This window comes from Homo sapiens, chromosome 7 (assembly GCF_000001405.40).
Source record: "Homo sapiens chromosome 7, GRCh38.p14 Primary Assembly".
NCBI lineage: Eukaryota > Metazoa > Chordata > Mammalia > Primates > Hominidae > Homo > Homo sapiens.
Genome location: NC_000007.14, coordinates 158,396,531 through 158,417,484, shown reverse-complemented (window position 1 = coordinate 158,417,484; position 20,954 = coordinate 158,396,531). Strand labels below are relative to the sequence as shown.

Sequence of the window (20,954 nt, the reverse complement as noted above, 5' to 3'; positions counted from 1 at the left end):
TCTCGATGTAGTACACCATGACAACACAGCGGGACACTGAAAGCTACAGCATCTCGATGTAGTTCACCATGACTTAACACAGCGGGACACTGAAAGCTACAGCATCTCGATGTAGTACACCATGACAGCACAGCGGGACACTGAAAGCTTCAGCATCTCGATGTAGTACACCATGACTTAACACAGTGGGACACTGAAAGCTTCAGCATCTCGATGTAGTACACCATGACTTAACACAGCAGGACACTGAGAGCTAGAGCATCTTGTTGTAGTGCACTGTGACTTAACACAGCAGGGAAACTGAGAGCTACAGCATCTCAATGTAGTACACTGTGACTTACACCAGGACACTGAGAGCTACGGCATCTTGATGTAGTACACCACAACTTAACACAGTGGGACACTGAGAGCTGCAGCATCTTGATGTAGTGCACTGTGACTTAGCACAGGGGGACAGTGAGAGGTAGAGCATCTCGATGTAGTGTGTGTGGCACTTGAATCCTTGTCTAGGCTGTGATAGTTGTGAGCATTCTCCCCATGGCTTGCTGAGTGTCAATCCCTTTCTGAGTCTGGATTGCCCTCCAACATTTTGTGCTTTGCCATTTTGTGGTGGTGAAGTGCCTCTGAGTGTCCCTTTACTGTGAAGGTCTTATTGCCCCATTTCCCCTGGATATCATCGTTTCCCTCACAGCCACTTCCCTGCTGTGTGCGGATGAGTTGCCTTCCTTAGGTTCCTGCAGCACCGTGAGTGTCCCACATGGTAGCCAGTCTATGTTTCCCAGCAGGCTGTCTGTTTCCTGCCCCCTGGCCTTTCTTTGGAATTTCACTTCCAGCACCATCCCTTTTCATTCTCTGGTGCACTTATATCTTTGTTTGTCTGTTCTTTCTTCTGATAATTCACTTCTGCGAAATGTTGTTTGGTTTCTCCCTGGGAGATGATGTGGCCACACAGCTCCATGCTTTGCTGTCTGTGCTGAGCTGAGTGACAGGCACCCTGGCCAATCCCCATGCAGCCACCAATCCCACATGGCTGTTAACATGTGGTGGTTTGTTGCCTACACCTGGCAGCACACTTTGTACTTTATGTAGTTACTCGGTTAACATGCCATGTAATTGAAATCTGGACTGTGTGGTTGGGGGCTGGGGGTGCATATCTAAACTTTGGCCATGTATCCCTGTGGGTTGGGCCTGCAAGGGAGGACAGTCGGATGCAATCAGATCATCCACCACAGTTGTCCCAAGCCTGGCTGACTATGGAGTGAAGCTGGATTCCCATTCCTGGGCCCCAAAGTGGACCTTCACAGAAGGCTTCCTCCAGTGCATGGGGCCCAGGGAAGGCACCTGTGTGGAAAGTATTTAGGGATGGTTCAGGTGTGCAGTCAGGCTTGGGAACCGTGGATTGTAGGATTTGCTGTTTCTGAAACCAACACCAAAGGTGGATGTGGAAGAGAAGAAACCAGAACCTAACACTTAGATTCCTAGAAGAGACAGGACTGTGGTGGCTGCCACCAGACACGTCATGGGGATGTGGAGCCCCAGCCACAGCAGACACAGGGGTGGCAGGGGCTTCTAGGGGACCACCCAGCCCTCTGAGGAATGCTCTGGTATTGAAAATCCTTAGAGACAATTTATGAACTACTCTGAAGTCCCTTCTTAGTGACTAAAACTAGGCTAAATCACCTGATTTGTTTAATTTTTCCTTAAGAAACTTTCTCATTTATCAATTGAATGAGGAAGAGGCATGGGTGGCCTGCATACTTCATTGAGGGTCTTTGACGAGGATTTGCGTGTATGGGATATTAATGAGCCATTGTAGGGTGGGGTGGGGGGACAAGTCCTCAACAATAACTCTGAGGCGGGGCCCGTGGTATATGCAGTTCTTGTTGGTAGAATGGGCCCATGGTTCTAAACCCTTTCTGTACATCCACAGTAGCTGGGAGTGCTCAGATAAGTCTGGTAAGCAGGCCGCACTCCGGAGCAGTGACATCTGAATCTGGTGGAGGTGGGGCCCAGGCACCTGCATTTTCAGGGTCCCAGGTGGTGTCCAGTGTCATCCAGGGCTGAAGCAGCTGGTGGGGGCTTAGAGAGGATGGTGGGTAGGGCCTGGGGTGACCCTTCCAAACCCAGGCAGCAAGGCTGCTGGCTCTCTCCCCTGAGGAAGGAAAGCAGGAGGGTTTCTTGAAGCCACCTGCTACAGGTTGTTTTTGTTTGTTTGACGTCATTCATCAGCTTTGCGTCTCTTCACCAATACTGTCGCTGGGGCCCAGAGTGGGGACTGCAGAGTAAAGATTAATTGGGAAGCAGGGAGTTGAGGTGTGGTTTCTGGCCTCTTGGTAGGTCAGGAAATTAGCTGTTTGTATCATCAGAGAAGTAGCTGGTTGTATCATCAGAGAAGTAGCTGGTTGTATCATCAGAGAAGTAGCTGGTTGTATCATCAGAGAAGTAGCTGGTTGTATCATCAGGAAAGTAGCTGGTTGTATCATCAGGAAAGTAGCTGGTTGTATCATCAGGAAAGTAGCTGGTTGTATTATGGCTGGAGTGCTCAGCTCCTGTTTTCCTTGCAGGCTTTTGTCCCAGGCAGAGGTACCTTCCCCCGCCCCTCCTCATGTGGATGACTGGTAGTGTTTTCCTTACAGCACGCTGGCTCATTCAGTTGGTGTGAGGGAGCTGGCTGGATGGAGATGCTCCGGAAGCTTCATCAGTGGATGCCCCTCCCCCACTTTCAACACAGCTCCCAGCGTTCAGTGGAGCCTCGAAGAATGAGCCACATTGATGTGGCCAGGGCGGGAGGCACGGCACAATGCCGGCAATTATGCCAGATCGAGGACCTCGGTGGGGACAGCTTTTTGGGCCGTGGAAGCGGGGGCGGCCTCCAGCCCGCATGTGAGCTCGTGCCAGCTTCTTCCTAATGGGAATTCTCAGTGGGTGGCTCTGATGTATGACTTACAGCTGAGCCCGGAGAACATCTAATTTCCTTTGCAGCTCTCTTCCTCACAGATGCAATTACTGTAGTGAAATCTGGTCCAGGAGGATGGGATGGGATTCTATTTTAAGGTTATTTCTTTCCTTCTTAGGCCTGAATAGCCATTGTTAACCGCCCGGGCACCCTCCTGGATCCGTCCTTTGGGGCTTAATGCTCCAGCCCGTTAATTCTGCTCTTTAAATTCTCACAGGTGACTGCTCCCTGTCAGCCCCTTTGTCTTAACCTCATGGTTTAGTGCTGCTGTCCTCACTCCTGGTGTGCCCTGCATCATCGGGAGAGCTCTGCTATGGGCCGTTCGGGGTTGAGCACCTGATTCCCTACGCTCTGGAAGTGCACGGTACTCACTTGGTAGAGGATTTGCTAGAACCACAGTTCTCCCCCTGCTGGAACACTAGGAATCCCCTTGCTTCCTTTTTTTTTTTTTTTTTTTTTTTGAGATAGAGGCTGTCTCTGTCACCCAGGCTGAAGTGCAGTGGCACGATCACGGCTCACTGCAACCTCCGCCTCCCAGGTTCAAGTGATTTAGTAGAGACACGGTTTCTCCATGTTGACCAGGCTTGTCTCGAACTCCTGACCTCAGGTAATTCACCTGCCTCGGCCTCCCAAAGTGCTGGGATTACAGGCGTGAGCCATCACACCTGGCCCTTGCCTCCATGTTTAAGGGTGGCCCAGGTTGAGCTGAAAAGGCTGGGTCAGGACCGCTGGGCCTGGACACACAAGTGCTTCCTGTGTGTCCCACAGGCTCCCCAGCACCCGCAGGATGGGCCCGTTCTCCTAGTTTTACAGACACCAGGCTGAGAGACTGGGGTCCTCATCTCCCACCCACAGAAGTCTTCCCACTGTTAGTCCTCCCGGGAGAGGGGTGGGCTCGCCTGCTGAGGTCGCCATGGAGCCCACACGGGGCTTTCCCGTTCAGGCCTCTTGAGCCCTGCCATCTTCTGGGAGGGGAGTCGGAAAAGGTTAAGGACAAGAGATCCTCATCTGTGTTAGTCACAGGCCCAGAGTGGACAGTGGCCAGTTTCCTAGTTGAGAAGAGGACTTGGCCAATTGGGGGCCATGTTAGGCCCACTGCATTTTATTTCCTTAAAGACAATGTTTTATTTTTTTGTGTGCATTCGGGTTCAGATGCTAAGTGAGCTGTTTAGGAAATGTAAACATACATTCAAAATTGAATTATCTTTCCTTTTCTCGTGAGCCCCTACGACTTATTACAAATGAGATACAAAGGATTGTTTTTGATCTTGAACCCAACTTTGGCACAAAATTTGTCTTGCTGTGGATTTTCTTGTGGGTCTGGAACGAGCTTGCATCTGTTATCAAGTCTGCTCAGTGGCGAGAGGGAAGGGAGCCATGTTGAGGAGGGCGCTGGATGGGTCCTGGAGCTGAGGAGGGTGCTGGATGGGTCCTGGAGCTGAGGAGGGCGCTGAGACGGGCCCTGGAGCTGAGAAGGGCACTGGATGGGCCCTGGAGCTGAGGAGGCCACTGGATGGGCCCTGGTGCTGAGGAGGGTGCTGGATGGGCCCTGGAGCTGAGGAGGGTGCTGAGATGGGCCCTGGTGCTGAGGAGGGCGCTGGATGGGCCCTGGTGTTGAGGAGGGCACTGGATGGGCCCTGGTGCTGAGGAGGGTGCTGAGATGGGCCCTGGTGCTGAGGAGGGCACTGGATGGGCCCTGGAGCTGAGGAGGGTGCTGAGATGGGCCCTGGAGCTGAGGAGGGTGCTGGATGGGCCCTGGTGCTGAGGAGGGTGCTGAGCTGGGCCCTGGTGCTGAGGAGGGCGCTGGATGGGCCCTGGAGCTGAGGAGGGTGCTGGATGGGCCCTGGTGCTGAGGAGGGTGCTGAGATGGGCCCTGGTGTTGAGGAGGGTGCTGAGGTGGGCCCTGGTGCTGAGGAGGGCACTGGATGGGCCCTGGAGCTGAGGAGGGTGCTGAGATAGGCCCTGGTGCTGAGGAGGGTGCTGAGATGGGCCCTGGTGCTGAGGAGGGTGCTGGATGGGCCCTGGTGCTGAGGAGGGTGCTGAGATGGGCCCTGGTGCTGAGGAGGGCGCTGGATGGGCCCTGGTGCTGAGGAGGGTGCTGAGATGGGCCCTGGTGCTGAGGAGGGCGCTGGATGGGCCCTGGTGTTGAGGAGGGTGCTGAGATGGGCCCTGGTGCTAAGGAGGGTGCTGAGATGGGCCCTGGTGCTGAGGAGGGCGCTGGATGGGCCCTGGTGTTGAGGAGGGTGCTGAGATGGGCCCTGGTGCTGAGGAGGGTGCTGAGATGGGCCCTGGTGCTGAGGAGGGTGCTGAGATGGGCCCTGGTGCTGAGGAGGGTGCTGAGATGGGCCCTGGTGTTGAGGAGGGTGCTGGATGGGCCCTGGTGCTGAGGAGGGTGCTGAGATGGGCCCTGGTGTTGAGGAGGGTGCTGAGATGGGCCCTGGTGCTAAGGAGGGTGCTGGATGGGCCCTGGTGCTGAGGAGGGCACTGGATGGGCCCTGGAGCTGAGGAGGGTGCTGTGATGGGCCCTGCAGCTGAGGAGGGTGCTGTGATGGGCCCTGGAGCTGATGAGGGTGCTGCGATGGGCCCTGGCAGGTGTGTTCTTGGCCCACGCATGTTCTCAGCCCCAGTCTCATGTGCGCAGCCTCATTTCACCCTCACGGCAGCCTAACGAGATGGGCCTATTGTCCCCTGAGCCACAGAGAAGCAGCCCGGGAGGAAGGCCAGTGACTGACCTGGGTCACAGAGCAGCTGAGTCTGGATAAGACCTGGGCCCTGGCCCCTGAGACCATGCTCCCATCTGAGGCGGGTGTGAGTGCCGCGGGGCGGCGCCTTCCACCTCCATTGGCGTTGGTTGGCTGCTTGGTACCCAGGTTTCCCAACTTGAAGTTGAGTGCTTAGTGTAGACAAGGACAGCGAGTGAGTTCTGATGCTGCCCTCTGACTGGCTGTGTTACCTGGGGGATCCCATCTCCCACGGGAAGGGGACCCCTGTTCCCGGGACGACAGCAGGACTTGCAGGTGCCTTGGCTCCCAGGAGGTGAGCCGTGAGTGCTGGGGGGACCAGAGAGTGGTGGCCGGGCATGTGCAAGGGCCCAGGGGACCAGGAGGTGAGACCCCAGAGGCTGCTGAAGGAGCTGTGAGGACCCAGCAGGGGCAGCAGTGCGCAGTGCCAGGCCCCGCACTTCATCACGGGAAGCGACTGGAGATGTCACCTCATTTCAAGGTGGCCGGAAAGCTGTGGCTGCACACATCTTTACGTGGGGAAGGGAGAATGAACCCACTGGGAAGCGTGTGAAGAAGCCGTGGGAGGCAGAAACGGAGCTGCGTTTGGTTGTAAGGGATGGGGTGCTCATGGGTTTTGAGTGCCTGCTCTGTGAAGGGTCCCATGACACAGAAACAGGTGGAAGAGCGAGGCCTCCTCTCGGGAGCTGCAGGAGTGAAAATAAGGCTGTGCCAGGGAGGAGAGGGCCCCGGGTTCGCAGGGGCAGCCCAGCCTGTCCGGATCTCTGTGGCCTGACACCACCAAGTGAATTTCCTACTCACGCTCCATGTCTGGGGTCACCTGGGTGCTTGTGTACCCTGTCCCTCCGGGGCCTCCCACCCCATGAGCACACTGTCCCGTCACCCCTTCCCTGTGTCTCCGTGTCTGGGGTCACCTGGGCACTTGTCTGCACTGTCCCTCCGGGGCCTCCCACCCGTGACTCCACCAACACCCCTTCCCTGTGTCTCCGTGTCTTCTCCTCTCCCTACAGGGACGTCAATCACTACATTTAGGGCCCACCCTGGATCCAGATGATCTCACCTCAAGGTCCTTCAATAATGAGGTCTGCGAGGACCCTGTTTCCACGTAGTTACATTCCGAGGCTCTGGCTGGACATTCCCAGAGAAGTTAAGAGCCACTCGTGGTTTTGTTATTTCACTTTACCGAAGTTGGGGAAACCGAAGCTTAGGGAGGCTCACCTTGCTCAAAGCCTGTAGTTTGAGACAGACTGGGAGCCTCTGCCCTTGGTCACCCCACATGCCTCAGAGTCGCAGAACTTCAGGGCCAGAGGAAACCTTAACTGGAGCTGGAAGTGGGCTCACAGGTGTCTACTCTGTCACTTCATCCCACGAGAAGGAGATTAATTCTCCTGTCTGTAGTCACCTGGGTACTCGGGGATGAGACGAGGGTGACTCTGGCATCGTGACCTCATTCTGTGTCCTTTCCCCCACATCTCCTGCCTTCGGGATGACAGCTGTGTCCTGAGTGTCGTGTTAGGTTGACATTTTGGTGTCGGGAGAGGCTCTCTAGAGAGGGAGCGGGCCTTGTGTGGTGAGGGTAGCTTGTCAGATGCTTGAAGGCAGAGAGGGTTTGGGGAGGTGGCTCAGACATGGGCTGTTTTTCTTTTTCTTAAATGGAGGGAAGGTGGCCAGAGACTGTGGAGGTCACCCGGATGAACTCCAGGTCTGCCTGCAGCCGTAGGAGGAAACCGAAGGAGTGATCAGGCTGAATCTGCGGGGACGCCTCGGAGCCACCCAGGCTGTTCAGCGAACCTCAGGCAGCTGGGGCTGTGGGGGCACACCCCATCTTCTCAAGTTTTCAGAAAACTTTGGAAGGCAAGTTCATGGAAGCTGCTCAAAAAAACACTAGCTTTATTATTATTTTTTAAAGCCAGATTTTTTGAGAGGCGACGTCAACACATCTTCTCAGCTCTTTATGTCAATTCTTAAAACACTTGCCAGATTCTGCAGGACAGTTCTGAATGTCGGCATGCTCTGTGAGGGCACCTGTTCTTCAGAGCGAGGGTCTGAGGGGGCCTGCGCGATCCCTACCTGGCCCCTTCCCTGGCAGGTGAGGTTGAAAGCCAGTGGAGGTTTTCTGTTGTTAGAGACCCCCGGAACCCTCACAGCCACCCTTTGGTTCACATAGAGGAGGGGCTTGGATGCTTCGTAAATTCTCCTGCCGGAGTTTGAGCTGCTTTAACCACGGTCCTTTTCAGGCATGTTCATAACATGGAAACCAGCTTCAGAAGGCAGCCCTGGGGAAATTGACCTGACTCTATCTGTTAGCAGCAGCCACTCTTTCCTTCCTCAGACTGACCAGGTCTTCTGTGCCCTCTCCACGCTCATGCCTGGGTAGGTCCTGGGTAGGTCCACGCTTATGCCTGGGTAGGTCCTCTCCTAAGCTGAGGACTGCCCACCTCCCCAGCCTGCTCACTGCCTGCTCCTGCACACATCTCCCCATATGCTGCCAGGGCCAGCCCTGAACACAGGCAATGGCTGGCTTCTGGCTGCAGAGGTCAGCGTGGGCCCCACAGGATCTGCCATCTCCAGGAGCCCCTTTGGAGGTGAGGCCCCAGGTGAGCCCCAAATGAGTAGATGCACTGCAGTCTGCATCTACTCATTAACGTAAACCAAGCATTACCTGCGGGGGCTTCTCATGAATGAAAACAGAACTTTCAGGGTGTTACGAAAATGATATGATTGTGTACATAAAGCACTGAGCTTGGAATCTGGTCTGGGAGGATGATCTTTTGATTTTTTTTTTTTTTTAATTAAGGAGAGCAAAGTCATTACTAGAATGTATAGCAAATATGGAGGTTAACTTTGTATCGTTTAAGTCATGTTTGTGGTAACAGAGTTTTAGGCTGTGTTTGGTGTCAATGTTAATATGACTGGGGTGAGTCGTGTCAATGTTAATATGACTGGGGTGAGTCCAGTGTTGACGTTAGCAGCGTTTTATCTCAAGCATATGTGACGTTGATCAAAATGTGAACTTTTGATCCGATTCTCCTTCCTACCCCACTGGCTTAGTTATTGCTGTAGTCCGGTCACGAAGGGTGGTCACACGTTTGGTGTATTTCTGCAAACACGGAGGAAACACCTTATTTATATTATGCAATTTACCTTTTCTTATCATTTGGACTTTTTCTGAGCCCATCAAATTGCTTGTTTTATGATTTTGATTTTGCAACACAGTAATAAATGTCATTTTCTGGAAATAAGTAATGAACATCTGCTTCCTCTGAAGATGCAGTATGAGTCCACCACGTGCAGTTCTCACAGGCAGGGACCCACCTCCGGGCTGATACACAGTGGTGACGGTTTTCTTCTTCTTCCTCTTCTTCTCTTAAAAGTCTATTTGAAAAATTCCACTGTAGAGAAAGCTACTGTAATCTGCTCCTTAAGAAGATTTGGCCTAGGAAGAAGAAAATCATCCTTTATACTTTTGGCTTATTAAATTGAAAAATATGCATAGTGGTGTTCTTATTAATTTATTCATGATTTTATTAATGTTTAATGCTGCCTCTGGTGTTGTCTGCTTTCAATACCAAAGAAAATGCAAAGGCACATTTGATCATGTGTGTTTCAGATCACAGGATCTCGTGTGTTTCTCTTCTAACACTGAAGGCCACCAGATGTCAGTGTAACTTAACAAATCACATCCTACATGTCACGTTGACTTCAGCATTTGGTCTAAGTGTTGCCTTTTCCTTTCCTATTTCAACTTCTGAAGATGAAGAGGGACTTTAAGGGAATTTGCACACAAGCTCCATAGACTTGAGTCATTGGATATCTTCTGAAGATGAGGAGGGACTTTAAGGGAATTTGCACACAAGCTCTGTAGACTTGAGTCACTGGACATTGTGGGAGATGCCTTTTTGCTTTTGCTGTTTCCAAACCTCCCAGCTAATCACGCCATGAACTCATGGTCCCTCCACTGAGCACGGCGATGGTTCCACATCGGCTTCGTGGCAAGGACGGATTCCAGGTTGGGGCTGCAGCCGGGCTCTGCTTGAGCGGCCCAGGGTCTTCTGTCTCAATCCAGGACCCAGGACGCAGGATGCAGGACGCAGGACCCAGGACCCAGGACCCAGGACGCAGGACGCAGGATGCAGGACCCAGGACCCAGGACGCAGGACCCAGGACCCAGGACCCAGGACGCAGGACGCAGGACCCAGGACCCAGGACGCAGGACCCAGGACACAGGACCCAGGACGCAGGACGCAGGACCCAGGACGCAGGACGCAGGACGCAGGACCCAGGACGCAGGACCCAGGACCCAGGACCCAGGACGCAGGACGCAGGACCCAGGACCCAGGACGCAGGACCCAGGACCCAGGACCCAGGACCCAGGACCCAGGACGCAGGACCCAGGACGCAGGACCCAGGACCCAGGACCCAGGACGCAGGACCCAGGACCCAGGACGCAGGACCCAGGACGCAGGACCCAGGACCCAGGACCCAGGACGCAGGACCCAGGACCCAGGACCCAGGACCCAGGACCCAGGACCCAGGACGCAGGACCCAGGACCCAGGACCCAGGACGCAGGACGCAGGACCCAGGACCCAGGACCCAGGACCCAGGACGCAGGACGCAGGACCCAGGACCCAGGACCCAGGACGCAGGACGCAGGACCCAGGACCCAGGACGCAGGACCCAGGGCTGGGCTTGTCTGCAGCCCGACCTCCTCACAGGCGGATGTTGGTTCTCTTGCTGGGTCTCCCTGGAGGGTTCCTTGCTGACAGCCTGAGCACGCTCAGCCTTGCTCATTGTTCAGGGCTGGCAGCTCCATGTTTGCTGTGGGCGAGGCCTGTGCAGGACAGACTTTGTCCAGTATTTACAGCATTTTCCTGATTCCATGTTGAGAGATAAAGCAATTTGCCTGGAGTGCCTGCTGTGATCCTGGAGCTCTGTCATCCAGGGTCTGTTTATAACAGCAGAGGAACGAAATGAGCCGAAACACAAATCTAATACAAAAAAACAAAATCAGGAGCATTTTTGAAGTTTAGCCAGGTATCCAGGAGGCAGTCAGCCACTTATCCAGTGGCATGGGGATGAGAGGTAGTCTTCTAGAGGTGTGTGAACAGGGCAGGTCTCAGGGCATGGTCAGTGTCACATGCCAGCGAGTGGCTGCAGCAGGACTCAGGTCCGCGGGAGAGACTGGGGAGGCTTCCAGAGCGGCACCTGCCCTGGGGAAGGAGCCGATGATGATGCAGGGGGCTCCAGGCATGACCAGCTCTTCCTTCCTGAGATAAGCACCACTGCGGGATCTCAGTGTGCAGCCACATGTCTCATGGATGAGCCACCGGGATCTCAGTGTGCAGCCACATGTCTCACGGATGAGCCACTGCAGGATCTCAGTGTGCAGCCACATGTCTCACGGATGAGCCACTGCGGGATCTCAGTGTGCAGCCAAATGTCTCACGGATGAGCCACCGGGATCTCAGTGTGCAGCCAAATGTCTCACGGATGAGCCACCGGGATCTCAGTGTGCAGCCAAATGTCTCACGGATGAGCCACCGGGATCTCAGTGTGCAGCCAAATGTCTCACGGATGAGCCACCGGGATCTCAGTGTGCGGCCACGTGTCTCATGGATGAGCCACTGCGGGATCTCAGTGTGCGGCCACGTGTCTCACGGATGAGCCACCGGGATCTCAGTGTGCGGCCACGTGTCTCATGGATGAGCCACTGCGGGATCTCAGTGTGCGGCCACGTGTCTCACGGATGAGCCACCGGGATCTCAGTGTGCAGCCACGTGTCTCACGGATGAGCCACTGCGGGATCTCAGTGTGCGGACACGTGTCTCACGGATGAGCCACTGCGGGATCTCAGTGTGCGGCCACGTGTCTCACGGATGAGCCACTGCGGGATCTCAGTGTGCGGACACGTGTCTCACGGATGAGCCACTGCGGGATCTCAGTGTGTGGCCACATGTCTCACGGATGAGCCACCGGGATCTCAGTGTGCGGCCACATGCATGGATAAGCCACTTGTGGTCGTGGTATGCAGCATTTCACTTTGCTTCTGGGAAGGTTTTCCGAGTTTTCCAAGTGCAGGCTCCACACACAGATAAGTTTCACTGTATTAAGAGTATAGAGGGCCGGATCTTGGTTGGATTCAGAAAAGTAGTTATTAAAAATATCTGATACCACATAACTGGATAAATCGTCTCTTGCTGCAGTAAAGTGTTGTGCATGCCCCGTTTCTTAGCAAGCTTGCGGAGGCTTTGTTTGTTGTTCCCTTCCAGTGTGGAGGAGAGACGGTCGGACGCTGCAGCTCTGTGTTGTGTCCTTATCAGGCATCATGCTAAAAAAACATTTCCTCCAGGGGGCTGTTTGTGAAAGGCAAGATTTTCAGAGGTTTTAAATGGGAGGATTTCAGCCCTCCTGGACCAAGCCTCTGCTTGGAGCTAACATCGAAGCTTTCAGAGAGTTTTCCTATAGCTAGGGTGGCCTCTGTGGCCATGCCTGACCTTCGTCTAGGTGTTGGCATTGCTAGGACCCCAAAATCCTAGGGGATGTGACACCCAGGAATTCTAGAGATCTCCCAGGCACCCCGGGAGGATGTGGACTCCAGGCATCCTAGGGGGTGTGGATGTTCGTGATGCTGTCTTTGTGGATGGGGAAACCCTGTAACAACTTAGCTCCTGCTGGGGCCAGGGAGCTGGGGCCGGGGAGCTGAGGCCGAGGAGCTGGAGGCCAGGGAGCTGGGGGCCGGGGAGCTGGGGGCCGGGGAGCTGGGGCCGGGGAGCTGAGGCCGAGGAGCTGGAGGCTGGGGAGCTGAGGCTGAGGAGCTGGAGGCCAGGGAGCTGGGAGCTGGGGAGCTGGGGCCGGGGAGCTGGGAGCCAGGGAGCTGGGGCCGGGGAGCTGAGGCCGAGGAGCTGGAGGCCAGGGAGCTGGGGGCTGGGGAGCTGGAGGCCGGGGAGCTGGGGCCGGGGAGCTGGGGGCCGGGGAGCTGGGGGCCAGGGAGCTGGAGGCCGGAGAGCTGGGGGCCGGGGAGCTGAGGCCGGGGAGCTGGAAGCCGGAGAGCTGGGGGCCGGAGAGCTGGGGGCCGGGGAGCTGGAGGCCCGGGAGCTGAGGCCAAGGAGCTGGGGGCCGGGGAGCTGAGGCTGGGGAGCTGGAGGCCGAGGACTGCAGGCCCTGGCTTGTGTTTCTGGCACAGGACTCCCGAGTGACTGGTGTTGTTGGGGTGGATATAACCAAACAGGGATTTAAGGAATGCAGCCAGCAATTGCCCAAAGCCACGTCCCCTGGGGAGCCCCCGTCCTCACGGGTCCTGGTGTCTTCATCCTGTGGACTGGCTCAGCCTGGCCTCAGCGCCTGCCCCGGGGTCAGCAGGTTAAGGGGTCCACAGCCCCTGCAGCAGGAGGTTTTAATGCCTGAACTGGAGAACCTTCAAAGGCACACACAGAATCTCTGTCTCCTCAGCATCCTCCCATCAAAGTCTGTCCGCATGTGTTCCTGGCTAGTGGCTCAGGAAAGGTCTGACGTCTTCCCACGTGTGACACAGCAGCACAAACCTCCAGCACGTGTCCCCACCCTGCACACAGGTGTTCTGGTGACGTCCAGTGAAAGGGTCACTTATAAGCCTTGGGGCCACAGTGTGTCCTGATTAAGCGATGTTTGTAAAGTTGATCTCTCCTATTGTCACGGCGATACCTTTTATTATAGAAAGTCCAGAGGCTGCAAATCACCAGGAAAAGACTGCGCATGCTGGGATTCCCCCACCACAACGTCTTCGTGTCATTTTTGTGTCTGTCCTAATGGACTTCCTTTTCTTTGGTAAGGACATGAGTAATTATAAAAATGGAATTGTAGTGTTTCTTGTGACTTTTACCCTACATTTTAAACCTCATTACCTTAATTAGGTGACTTTTTGTGCTAGCTAAAGGCATAAAGCAAATATTCATTTCCCCCTTTCCAGCCATCATGGTTTTTTCCAAAGTGCATCATCCCAGCATCAGAATTTCAGAACTCTGGGGGAATCAAGATTCAGCCTCGTGGGGTTTTGGGAGTTTTCAGAGTGGGGGTGCAGGACCCCTCCCCGAGTGGGTCTTGGTGTGCGATCCTCAGACCCCAGGCACTCGCAGTCCCGGCTGCCGCACTGCCTGCCTGCTGCCCACCTTAGCCCACTTCCAGTCCGACAGGCAGCGTGAACAGAAGTGACCTCTCTGTGGTGATTGACGTGCCACCAGAGTGGCCCTTGGAGTAACAAAGGCCACACCCAGGGGTTTGGGCCTAAATGTGCTTGCTCCGGGCACGATTCTCAAACCTGGAGCCCATGAGGATTACCTGGGAGCTGTTGCAGAACGAGGGCAGCTGGGCCTGTGCCCGGGCCTGTCCAGGGTTGCTGGGGTGGGGCCTGCATGTCAGGGTGGAATCCTTGCCACTCCTGCCTGCAGCCTGGTGGAGACATGCTCTTCAGGTCAGCTCTGGTTATTTACGTTTTCACATCAGTACGGCAGGGCCTGCATGGGTGCGTTTGTGTCTTTCACTTGGCTTCCTGCTGGTGAGGGGTCTGCTGGCAGAGGTGCTCACATGTGCTCCCCTGGCCTGATGGGGCAGGTTTCTCTCTGGCCACGTGCCCACGTGCATTCTGTCTGCTCAACCTCCCAAGTGCACAGCTTGAAGGTGGTCCAGACCTTAATGTGGGGGGATTTTCACCAAAACCCTGTGGTGTCTCCAAACAGAGCGAGAATGAACCCCCTGGGAAGCATATGAAGAAGCCGTGGGAGGCAAACGGAGCTGTGTTTGGTTGTAAGGGATGGGGCTGCTCATGGGTTTTCAGTGCCAGCTCTGGGAAGGGTCCCTTTGCTGTGGAGAATCACAGAGGAGGCTTTTCTTTTCTGACCTGCTGCCCCTGCACCCCATGATTCTCCCTCATCAGAGTTTTGCTTTCTGCTGGGCAAAGCCAGGAAGGGACAGACAGTCCCTGGCCTGGGTTGAGCCCCCACCACCCTGTCCCTCCACCGTGGGACCAGAGCTGTCCATGACACCACCCTGCCTGGCCATGGCCCTTGGATCCCTCTAGGGCGGGCGCAGGGTCCGGAGAGCAGGCACGACAGCTGCAGACACCCAGACCTTCCCTTCCCTGCAGGAACATCGCAGGGCTTGCCCAAGGCCGCATGGACAGCTGCATTGGAAGGAGACTCATCGATGACTCTGCATTTTGGGGCTTTAATTTATCTGCCAAATATGGAGTAAGCCCCTGGCACGTGGGATATTGGAGTCTCAGCAGTGTGCACAGCAGAGTCTTGTCTCCATGGAGTTGGAGGGCGCTGACTCCCACCAACGTAAATTCAGTGCAGATGCAAAATTAGCAGAGAAGAGGGCGTGGGGTGCACTGGCCAACAGCATGAGCCAGCCCCACCTCCGAGAGTCAAGGTGAAGCTCTGAGGCAGGTGCTCATTTGCGAGCTGGAATGCATGTGTGTACAGAGGTTGTACCCCCAGATTTCCAATTTGGGGAGGTGCTGGGGCATGTGCCTCCTAGTGCCGTGGACAGCTCAAAAGTCAGCACCTGTATACCCTGGTCCTGTGTCTGGCTGGTCCCTGAGTCCCACAAGATGTATGTGGACTTGTTGTGAGCCACTCTCCCACCGGGCTGTCCTCCGGGGTTCTCCCTTTTCCCAGGTGTGTTTGGAGGGGGTGGCTGGATGTGCTGACTCCTCATCTCCTCTCTTTCACACCCCGTGTCCCGCCTCTCCCTGACCCTGCTGGGCACCGGTCAGACCCCCTTTCCTCATCTCTCTTTCACACCCCGTTTCCCACCTCTCCCTGGCTCTGGGCACCGGCCAGACCCCCTTTCCCAGATGGGAACTTGACTGGCGGTCTGGATGGAGAGAGGCCTGGGAGGTCTGGGCGGCAGTGTGGACATCTCTATGGATTCAGGCACCCCTGCTCTCGTTTTGTCTTCCCTCCACTGGGCACCTGCTGGTTTCCAGGCTGCCGTCAGTCCCCTGAGCCCCTCTGTCTTCCCAGCTTCTCCCTTAGGAATTACCAGCCATTCGTCCTTTTGTTTTCCTTTCAGCCCCTTCAAATTTTGTCTCGGGAATAATTTTGTGCATTATCAGATCATCAAGATATTTTACTAAAGACATTTCTTCCTAAGAATTTAGTTATTAAACTAGCATTTCCCTTTTTGAGTTCCTCTTATGGTAACAGCTCTTCACTAGAATGCCTGGGACCCAGTGTGTCATGGCAACCATGGGGCTGTCCCATGGCAGCCCCACTCCTGCACTAGGCCAGGGTCTCTCTGCCTCCACGCTGCTCCCTTGGGGTCCATCGTGTCTTGGCACCCGTGGGGCCGTCCCGTGGCAGCTTCGCTTCTGTGCTGGGCCAGGTCTCTCTGCCTCCATGCTGCTCCCTTGGGGTCCAGCGGCTCCTGGGTGGCAGCAACACAGAGAAGGAGCTTCCGGTCTATTTTCTCCCTGGTGGAGGTCTCTGAAGATTTTTCACTGCTGGAAAAAGAGGAAGAAGCCCAGTAAAAATAACAAACGAGGGGATGGAGCCTCCATACACACAGCCTTCCTTGCTCACGGGATGAGCCTGGGTCTGAGGGGCTTGGAGCCCGCCTTCCAGGTGAACTGTCAGAGGGTCAGGAACCCGGAGAGCCCCTGGCACCGCAGGCATCACTGCTGCCTCCGTCATCAGGCCCCACGTCCCTCTTGTGCTTGCTGGTGGCGGTGCCGCTTTCTCTTTTAGATTCTGCATCTCGTGCGTGTCGGTTCCTGGGTGATGAGCGGCCTTGGCCACAGGAGGCGGAGCAGGGCCCACCGCAGTCGGGGAAGCTCTGGGTTTGCTGTCTGCTCGGCTTTCCTCGTGAGGTTCTTTACAGGATGTTCTTTACAGGATCTGGGGGAATGCGGGGGGTGGGACGGGGGCTGCTGGTTGGTGTTTGAGGAGCTCACCTGCAGGCAGGACGTGTCCTGAGGATCCGTCTCAGCTGCATGGCAGGCATGGAGCAGGGCTGCCTCCGTTTGTGTAGAGGATGCCTGCACTCCAGAGAGGCTCTGAGGTTGGCCTGAGAGGCTCTGTCTGCATTTGTGGCTGGGACCACGGTGTCCTGTGCTGAGGCTGGTCTCAGTTGCTGGGGAGATGCTGCCTTGGGACCTGCAAGAGGGCAACTCCCAGCGCCCCTCACTTTCACCCCAAGGAGAATCGTAGCTGAGATGACAAAGCGCATCTTGTGTTCTTGTTAGATGTGTGTTGGCTTCATAATGATGCAGCATAATGATGTCAGGATGGCTTTGGAGCTCAGAGAAATGGGCTTGAGCCACCATAAAGCAATCCCGTTGGACTTAATGGCTGTGATTTTGTTGTGGTGATGTCAGGAGGCTTTCTGTCCAGTTTCTGAGGAGCTGTGTGTCTGGTAGACACAGAGCAATAAAGCAAAACAAAAACAAAGCCAGAATGCTGCTCCAGCCTGAGTGTGGGGGAGATGGGACAGCATGGGTTCTGTGCATGACGACTGCCCTGTCCACATAGGGTAGCGCATCTGCTTGGTTCAAAAGTGACTAAGACATTGGTCTTCAAAAAATATCCATCAGTTACGTCATTTCTTTTGGCAAAATTCTTGATGTTTGTGGGGGCCTCGTAAGTTTAGGCATCCTCATTAAAACCTCTAAAGACTGTCAGAAAGCACAGCTTTAACGATGACATAAAGGCATCTGTTACATGAGAAAAGCGTTTACTTCCTCTCCTCACCCCAGTATGAAAGGTGGCCTGAGTACCCTGCAGGTGTGGTCACAGCAGATCTCTTGCATGCAGGGAGTTTGGCAAACCCAGACTGGTGCTGGTCTGCAGACTCGCCGCCCCTCCCAGCTTCGCTCCCTGTGGGACTGCAAGTGCCTGGGGACTAATGAGTCCCGCTTCCCACTCCCCTTGCTGGGAGAGCTCCAACTGACGGCCAAGGAGTGAGCGTTTAAATACCTCAGCTACACCACCCCTTGAATGGGATGGTTCCGGTGCAGTAGGAGCTGGCTGGTGATGCACCTTTCACTGGAAACCCAACCTTCCTTGTCACACTTTTTTTCTTTTAAAAATTTCCTCCTCTCCCCTCCCCTTCCATTCCCTTGTTTCTTTTCCTTCTTTTCTTTTCTTTCTTTTCTTGAGACAGGATCTTGCTTTATCACCCAGGCTGCAGTGCAGTGGCTTGATCATAGCTCACTGCAGCCTTGACCTCCTGGGCTGAAGTAATCCTCCTGCCTCAGCCTCCTAAGTAGCTGAGACCACAGGCAGGAGCTACCATGCCTGGCTAATTTTTAAAAATGATTTTATAGAGACAGAGATCTCACTTTGTGGCCCAGGCTGTTCTCAAACTCTTGGACTCAAGTGATTCTCCTGCCTTGGCCTCCCAAAACACTGAGATCACAGGTGTGCACTACCACACCTGGCCAACTACAATTGTTTCTTATTCCAGGTCTGCTTCTGTGGGAATAGAAATAGAGAAAATTTTTCCCAGTGAAACTGCTCAGCAGGGTCTCCTATACTGACACCCACTTTCAACAATTCACCAGGTGACACAATTCTAAATCAGCTCTTTGTGCCCCTTATTAAATATGAGCAGGCATCCCAGGATCACTGGACACTTATGGAAAGCCTCTAATGAAAGAGCCCTGACAGCCACATGGAAGAAGACAGCATGAAATGAAGAGAGACTATGGACACTAAGCAAATACATAAGACATGTATAACTCCAGGAAAAACAAGAAGACACTGTGAAAGGAAGAGACACTGTGGACACTAAGCAAATACATAAGACATTTATAACTCCAGGGAAAACAAAAAGAAAAAAAATTAATACTAGTCACAGCGTACTACATAGCCTAGTTGGGGATAGCATTTACAAAGTCACAATATTGTAAGCACATAATACTGATCTGATGAAAATTGTAATGTAACTAAACTGGGAAAGAGAAAGTAAGCTTGGAAACAGTGATGTGTTATGGAGAGGTAGGCCCATCTTCTGTAGCAGTCAGAAAATAGATACATCCTAAATCTGAAAGCTGAGAAATGGCAACGTGAATGTGTCATGTGGAGATATGGAGATGAAAACCAAGAGTCAGCTAAATGAGTTGAGGGTGCTTACCTCTGGGGAGTAGAAATGCGGGTGGGGAAAAGGTGGGTTAGAGGTTTGCTCATTTCCCCAACCAGACTTAGATTTTTCAAACTATGTGCAAGCATGATGTTTAAAAATAAACCCTAAAATAAGAAGAGAGAGTTAACTTTGACAACGGCAATAACAGAACAAAGAATGTACTTTATGTATGTTTTCTTTGTTCTTTGTTTACCCCATTCTAGCAATGCAGAAACAGTTAGAAGACACTCACCGAGCCCCACCTGGCTTCCCACCTGTGACCAGGTGAGGCAACAGTGTGGGGGAGGATGAGGCAGCTGCCCTCGGCATTGCCTGTGGCAAGGCCAGCAACACAACCCAGGAAAGGGGACCGTTTTCAGTGTCTAGTGGGATAATAATATCTAGCATTTACTGGGCATACTCAATCTTGCTACCACCCTGGTTTTGAAAACACAAATCTGTTCAAATGCAGTTGATACATGGGGGAGCACTTTGTGCATGATGTAATTTTGCATTCTCCTATGAATGATGAATGACGGGTTGCTAGTCTGGTTGAACAGTTACAGATGGATTTGTAAGCTAGACAGTGTCCCTCAGGACCATGGAATGTGTGGATGTATCAGCACTACAGAATCTTCGAGTCTGCAAATTTTCCCAGCCTCAGGATCAGTGGGGACTCATCATCCTCTCATTTCCCTGCTTTGGTTCCACCCTCAGTGGCCGTCCCTCCGGTTCCTACTCCTTGTTATCATGCACACCTCGATTTACGTTCATGGCATTGGAAAACCCTCCTGTTTGATTGTTACTGTCAGGCCGTGGCACCCTGCTTGTGCTTTTCAATTTGTTTTGTTTTGCTTTGCACAGTTGTGTGTGCATGTAGCTGTTTTTATTCACTGTTATACTTTTATTCTGTATTTGTTTCCTGTTTCTTTTGGTCAAGAGGCCTCACAAGGCATCTTCTCTGCAGGGGAGGAGACTCAGCCCTGAGAGGGATGTTGTTGTCATGTGGAAGTGGAGGCACAGAGTGACTGGGGGGTGGGGAGGGAGTGGCAGGACAGGCCCAGACCTGCCCAAATGGTATGACATTTCGGCCCCCAGCTTTCCTGGGTGGAGCCCTGTGCTGTCCCTATTTTGAGCTGGGGCAGGACACACTATTTCTCTGGAAGGGAAGGTGAGGGTGCAGGGCACAGGAGGAGTGTTTGTTTGGGCCTCCAGAGCTGGTCTCGATCTGAGGACCTGCTTCATGTCAGCCCTGTCCCCTGGCCACTTGGAGGGCAACCCTGAGGCTGGTTCACAACTGCTCGGGGGTCCTGCCGCTGGGAGGGCTGGTTCACAACCGCTGAGGGTGTCTGGATGCAGGCTCCTGGCAGCATCCTGGATGGGCGCAGCTCATGTGGTTCTCTGCAGAGTGGCCCCACATTGGGCACAAGCCCCTGTCCCTACCTCGGAGGGCATCTCCTGCATTACCCAGGAAGTGAGCCTCTCTGAATCTTGTTTGCTTTGAGATTACGCAAGGAAGGAAAAAATGCTGAAGTGTAAGTTTTGAGGGTGTGAGGCATAGTTTAAATCAGGGAGGCACTCTTACAGCAGATGGCCTTTCAGAATAATTAAAAGAGCAAATTAAAAGAGCAAATTGAAAGAGCACTTCAGCGGGGCCTGGGTCTCCACAGAGGACAGGATGTCGGTTTGTTTCAAAAGACAGAAAATAAAGTTTCTTTCCAAAGCTGCAATTTCCTTGAGGCCATTGTACCATCATGTCACAAGCTCGTGTACTTTTTCCTTGTCTTGGGGCTTTTACAGTGTTCTCTGGGGGCTATTTCTGGGCTCTCAACAGTCTTATTTTGGGAACCACTGCTGAGCTGCTTGGCATTCTCTACAGCTGTTGTGGCAAAACAGGACAGACCCCGAGGCGGGTCACCGCTGGTGTGTGCAGGTGGAGGCGGCTTGGGGAGATGGTATGCGCACACACACACATGCACACATGTGCACACACAAACATGCACACACACGTGCACACAAAGCACACACAAGCCTACCCTGTGAGAACGGAGCTGCCCCAGTTCCCTGAGTGCCCCCTTCAGAGCTCTGGGTGGCCTCTAACATCCTGGCTGCTTGTCCATCCCCCTGAGCACAGGAAGCGGGCAAGGCACAAAACTCA

At 54.0% G+C, this 20,954-nt stretch overlaps 1 protein-coding gene across 13 annotated transcripts in view, besides 4 other annotated features; it reads left to right on the top strand.

Annotated features, from left to right (window-relative positions):
- The window catches only part of PTPRN2 (protein tyrosine phosphatase receptor type N2), a 1,048,768-nt gene that overhangs the window by 170,339 nt on the left and 857,475 nt on the right, over positions 1-20,954 (top strand). The gene's annotated exons all lie outside the window — the stretch shown is intronic.
- Positions 902-1,102: a silencer, noted in NCBI's record as "peak6880 fragment used in MPRA reporter construct". NCBI's record gives its function as "represses an SCP1 promoter by STARR-seq MPRAs in K562 erythroleukemia cells {active_cell/tissue: K562}" and the evidence as "EXISTENCE:reporter gene assay evidence [ECO:0000049][PMID:32103011]".
- Positions 2,298-2,822: an enhancer, noted in NCBI's record as "H3K4me1 hESC enhancer chr7:158207355-158207879 (GRCh37/hg19 assembly coordinates)". NCBI's record gives its function as "activates a minimal SCP1, AML or CMV promoter by ChIP-STARR-seq in naive and primed H9 embryonic stem cells {active_cell/tissue: H9 hESC(naive and primed)}" and the evidence as "EXISTENCE:reporter gene assay evidence [ECO:0000049][PMID:30033119]".
- Positions 2,823-3,347: an enhancer, noted in NCBI's record as "H3K4me1 hESC enhancer chr7:158206830-158207354 (GRCh37/hg19 assembly coordinates)". NCBI's record gives its function as "activates a minimal SCP1, AML or CMV promoter by ChIP-STARR-seq in primed H9 embryonic stem cells {active_cell/tissue: H9 hESC(primed)}" and the evidence as "EXISTENCE:reporter gene assay evidence [ECO:0000049][PMID:30033119]".
- Positions 19,547-20,154: an enhancer, noted in NCBI's record as "H3K27ac-H3K4me1 hESC enhancer chr7:158190023-158190630 (GRCh37/hg19 assembly coordinates)". NCBI's record gives its function as "activates a minimal SCP1, AML or CMV promoter by ChIP-STARR-seq in primed H9 embryonic stem cells {active_cell/tissue: H9 hESC(primed)}" and the evidence as "EXISTENCE:reporter gene assay evidence [ECO:0000049][PMID:30033119]".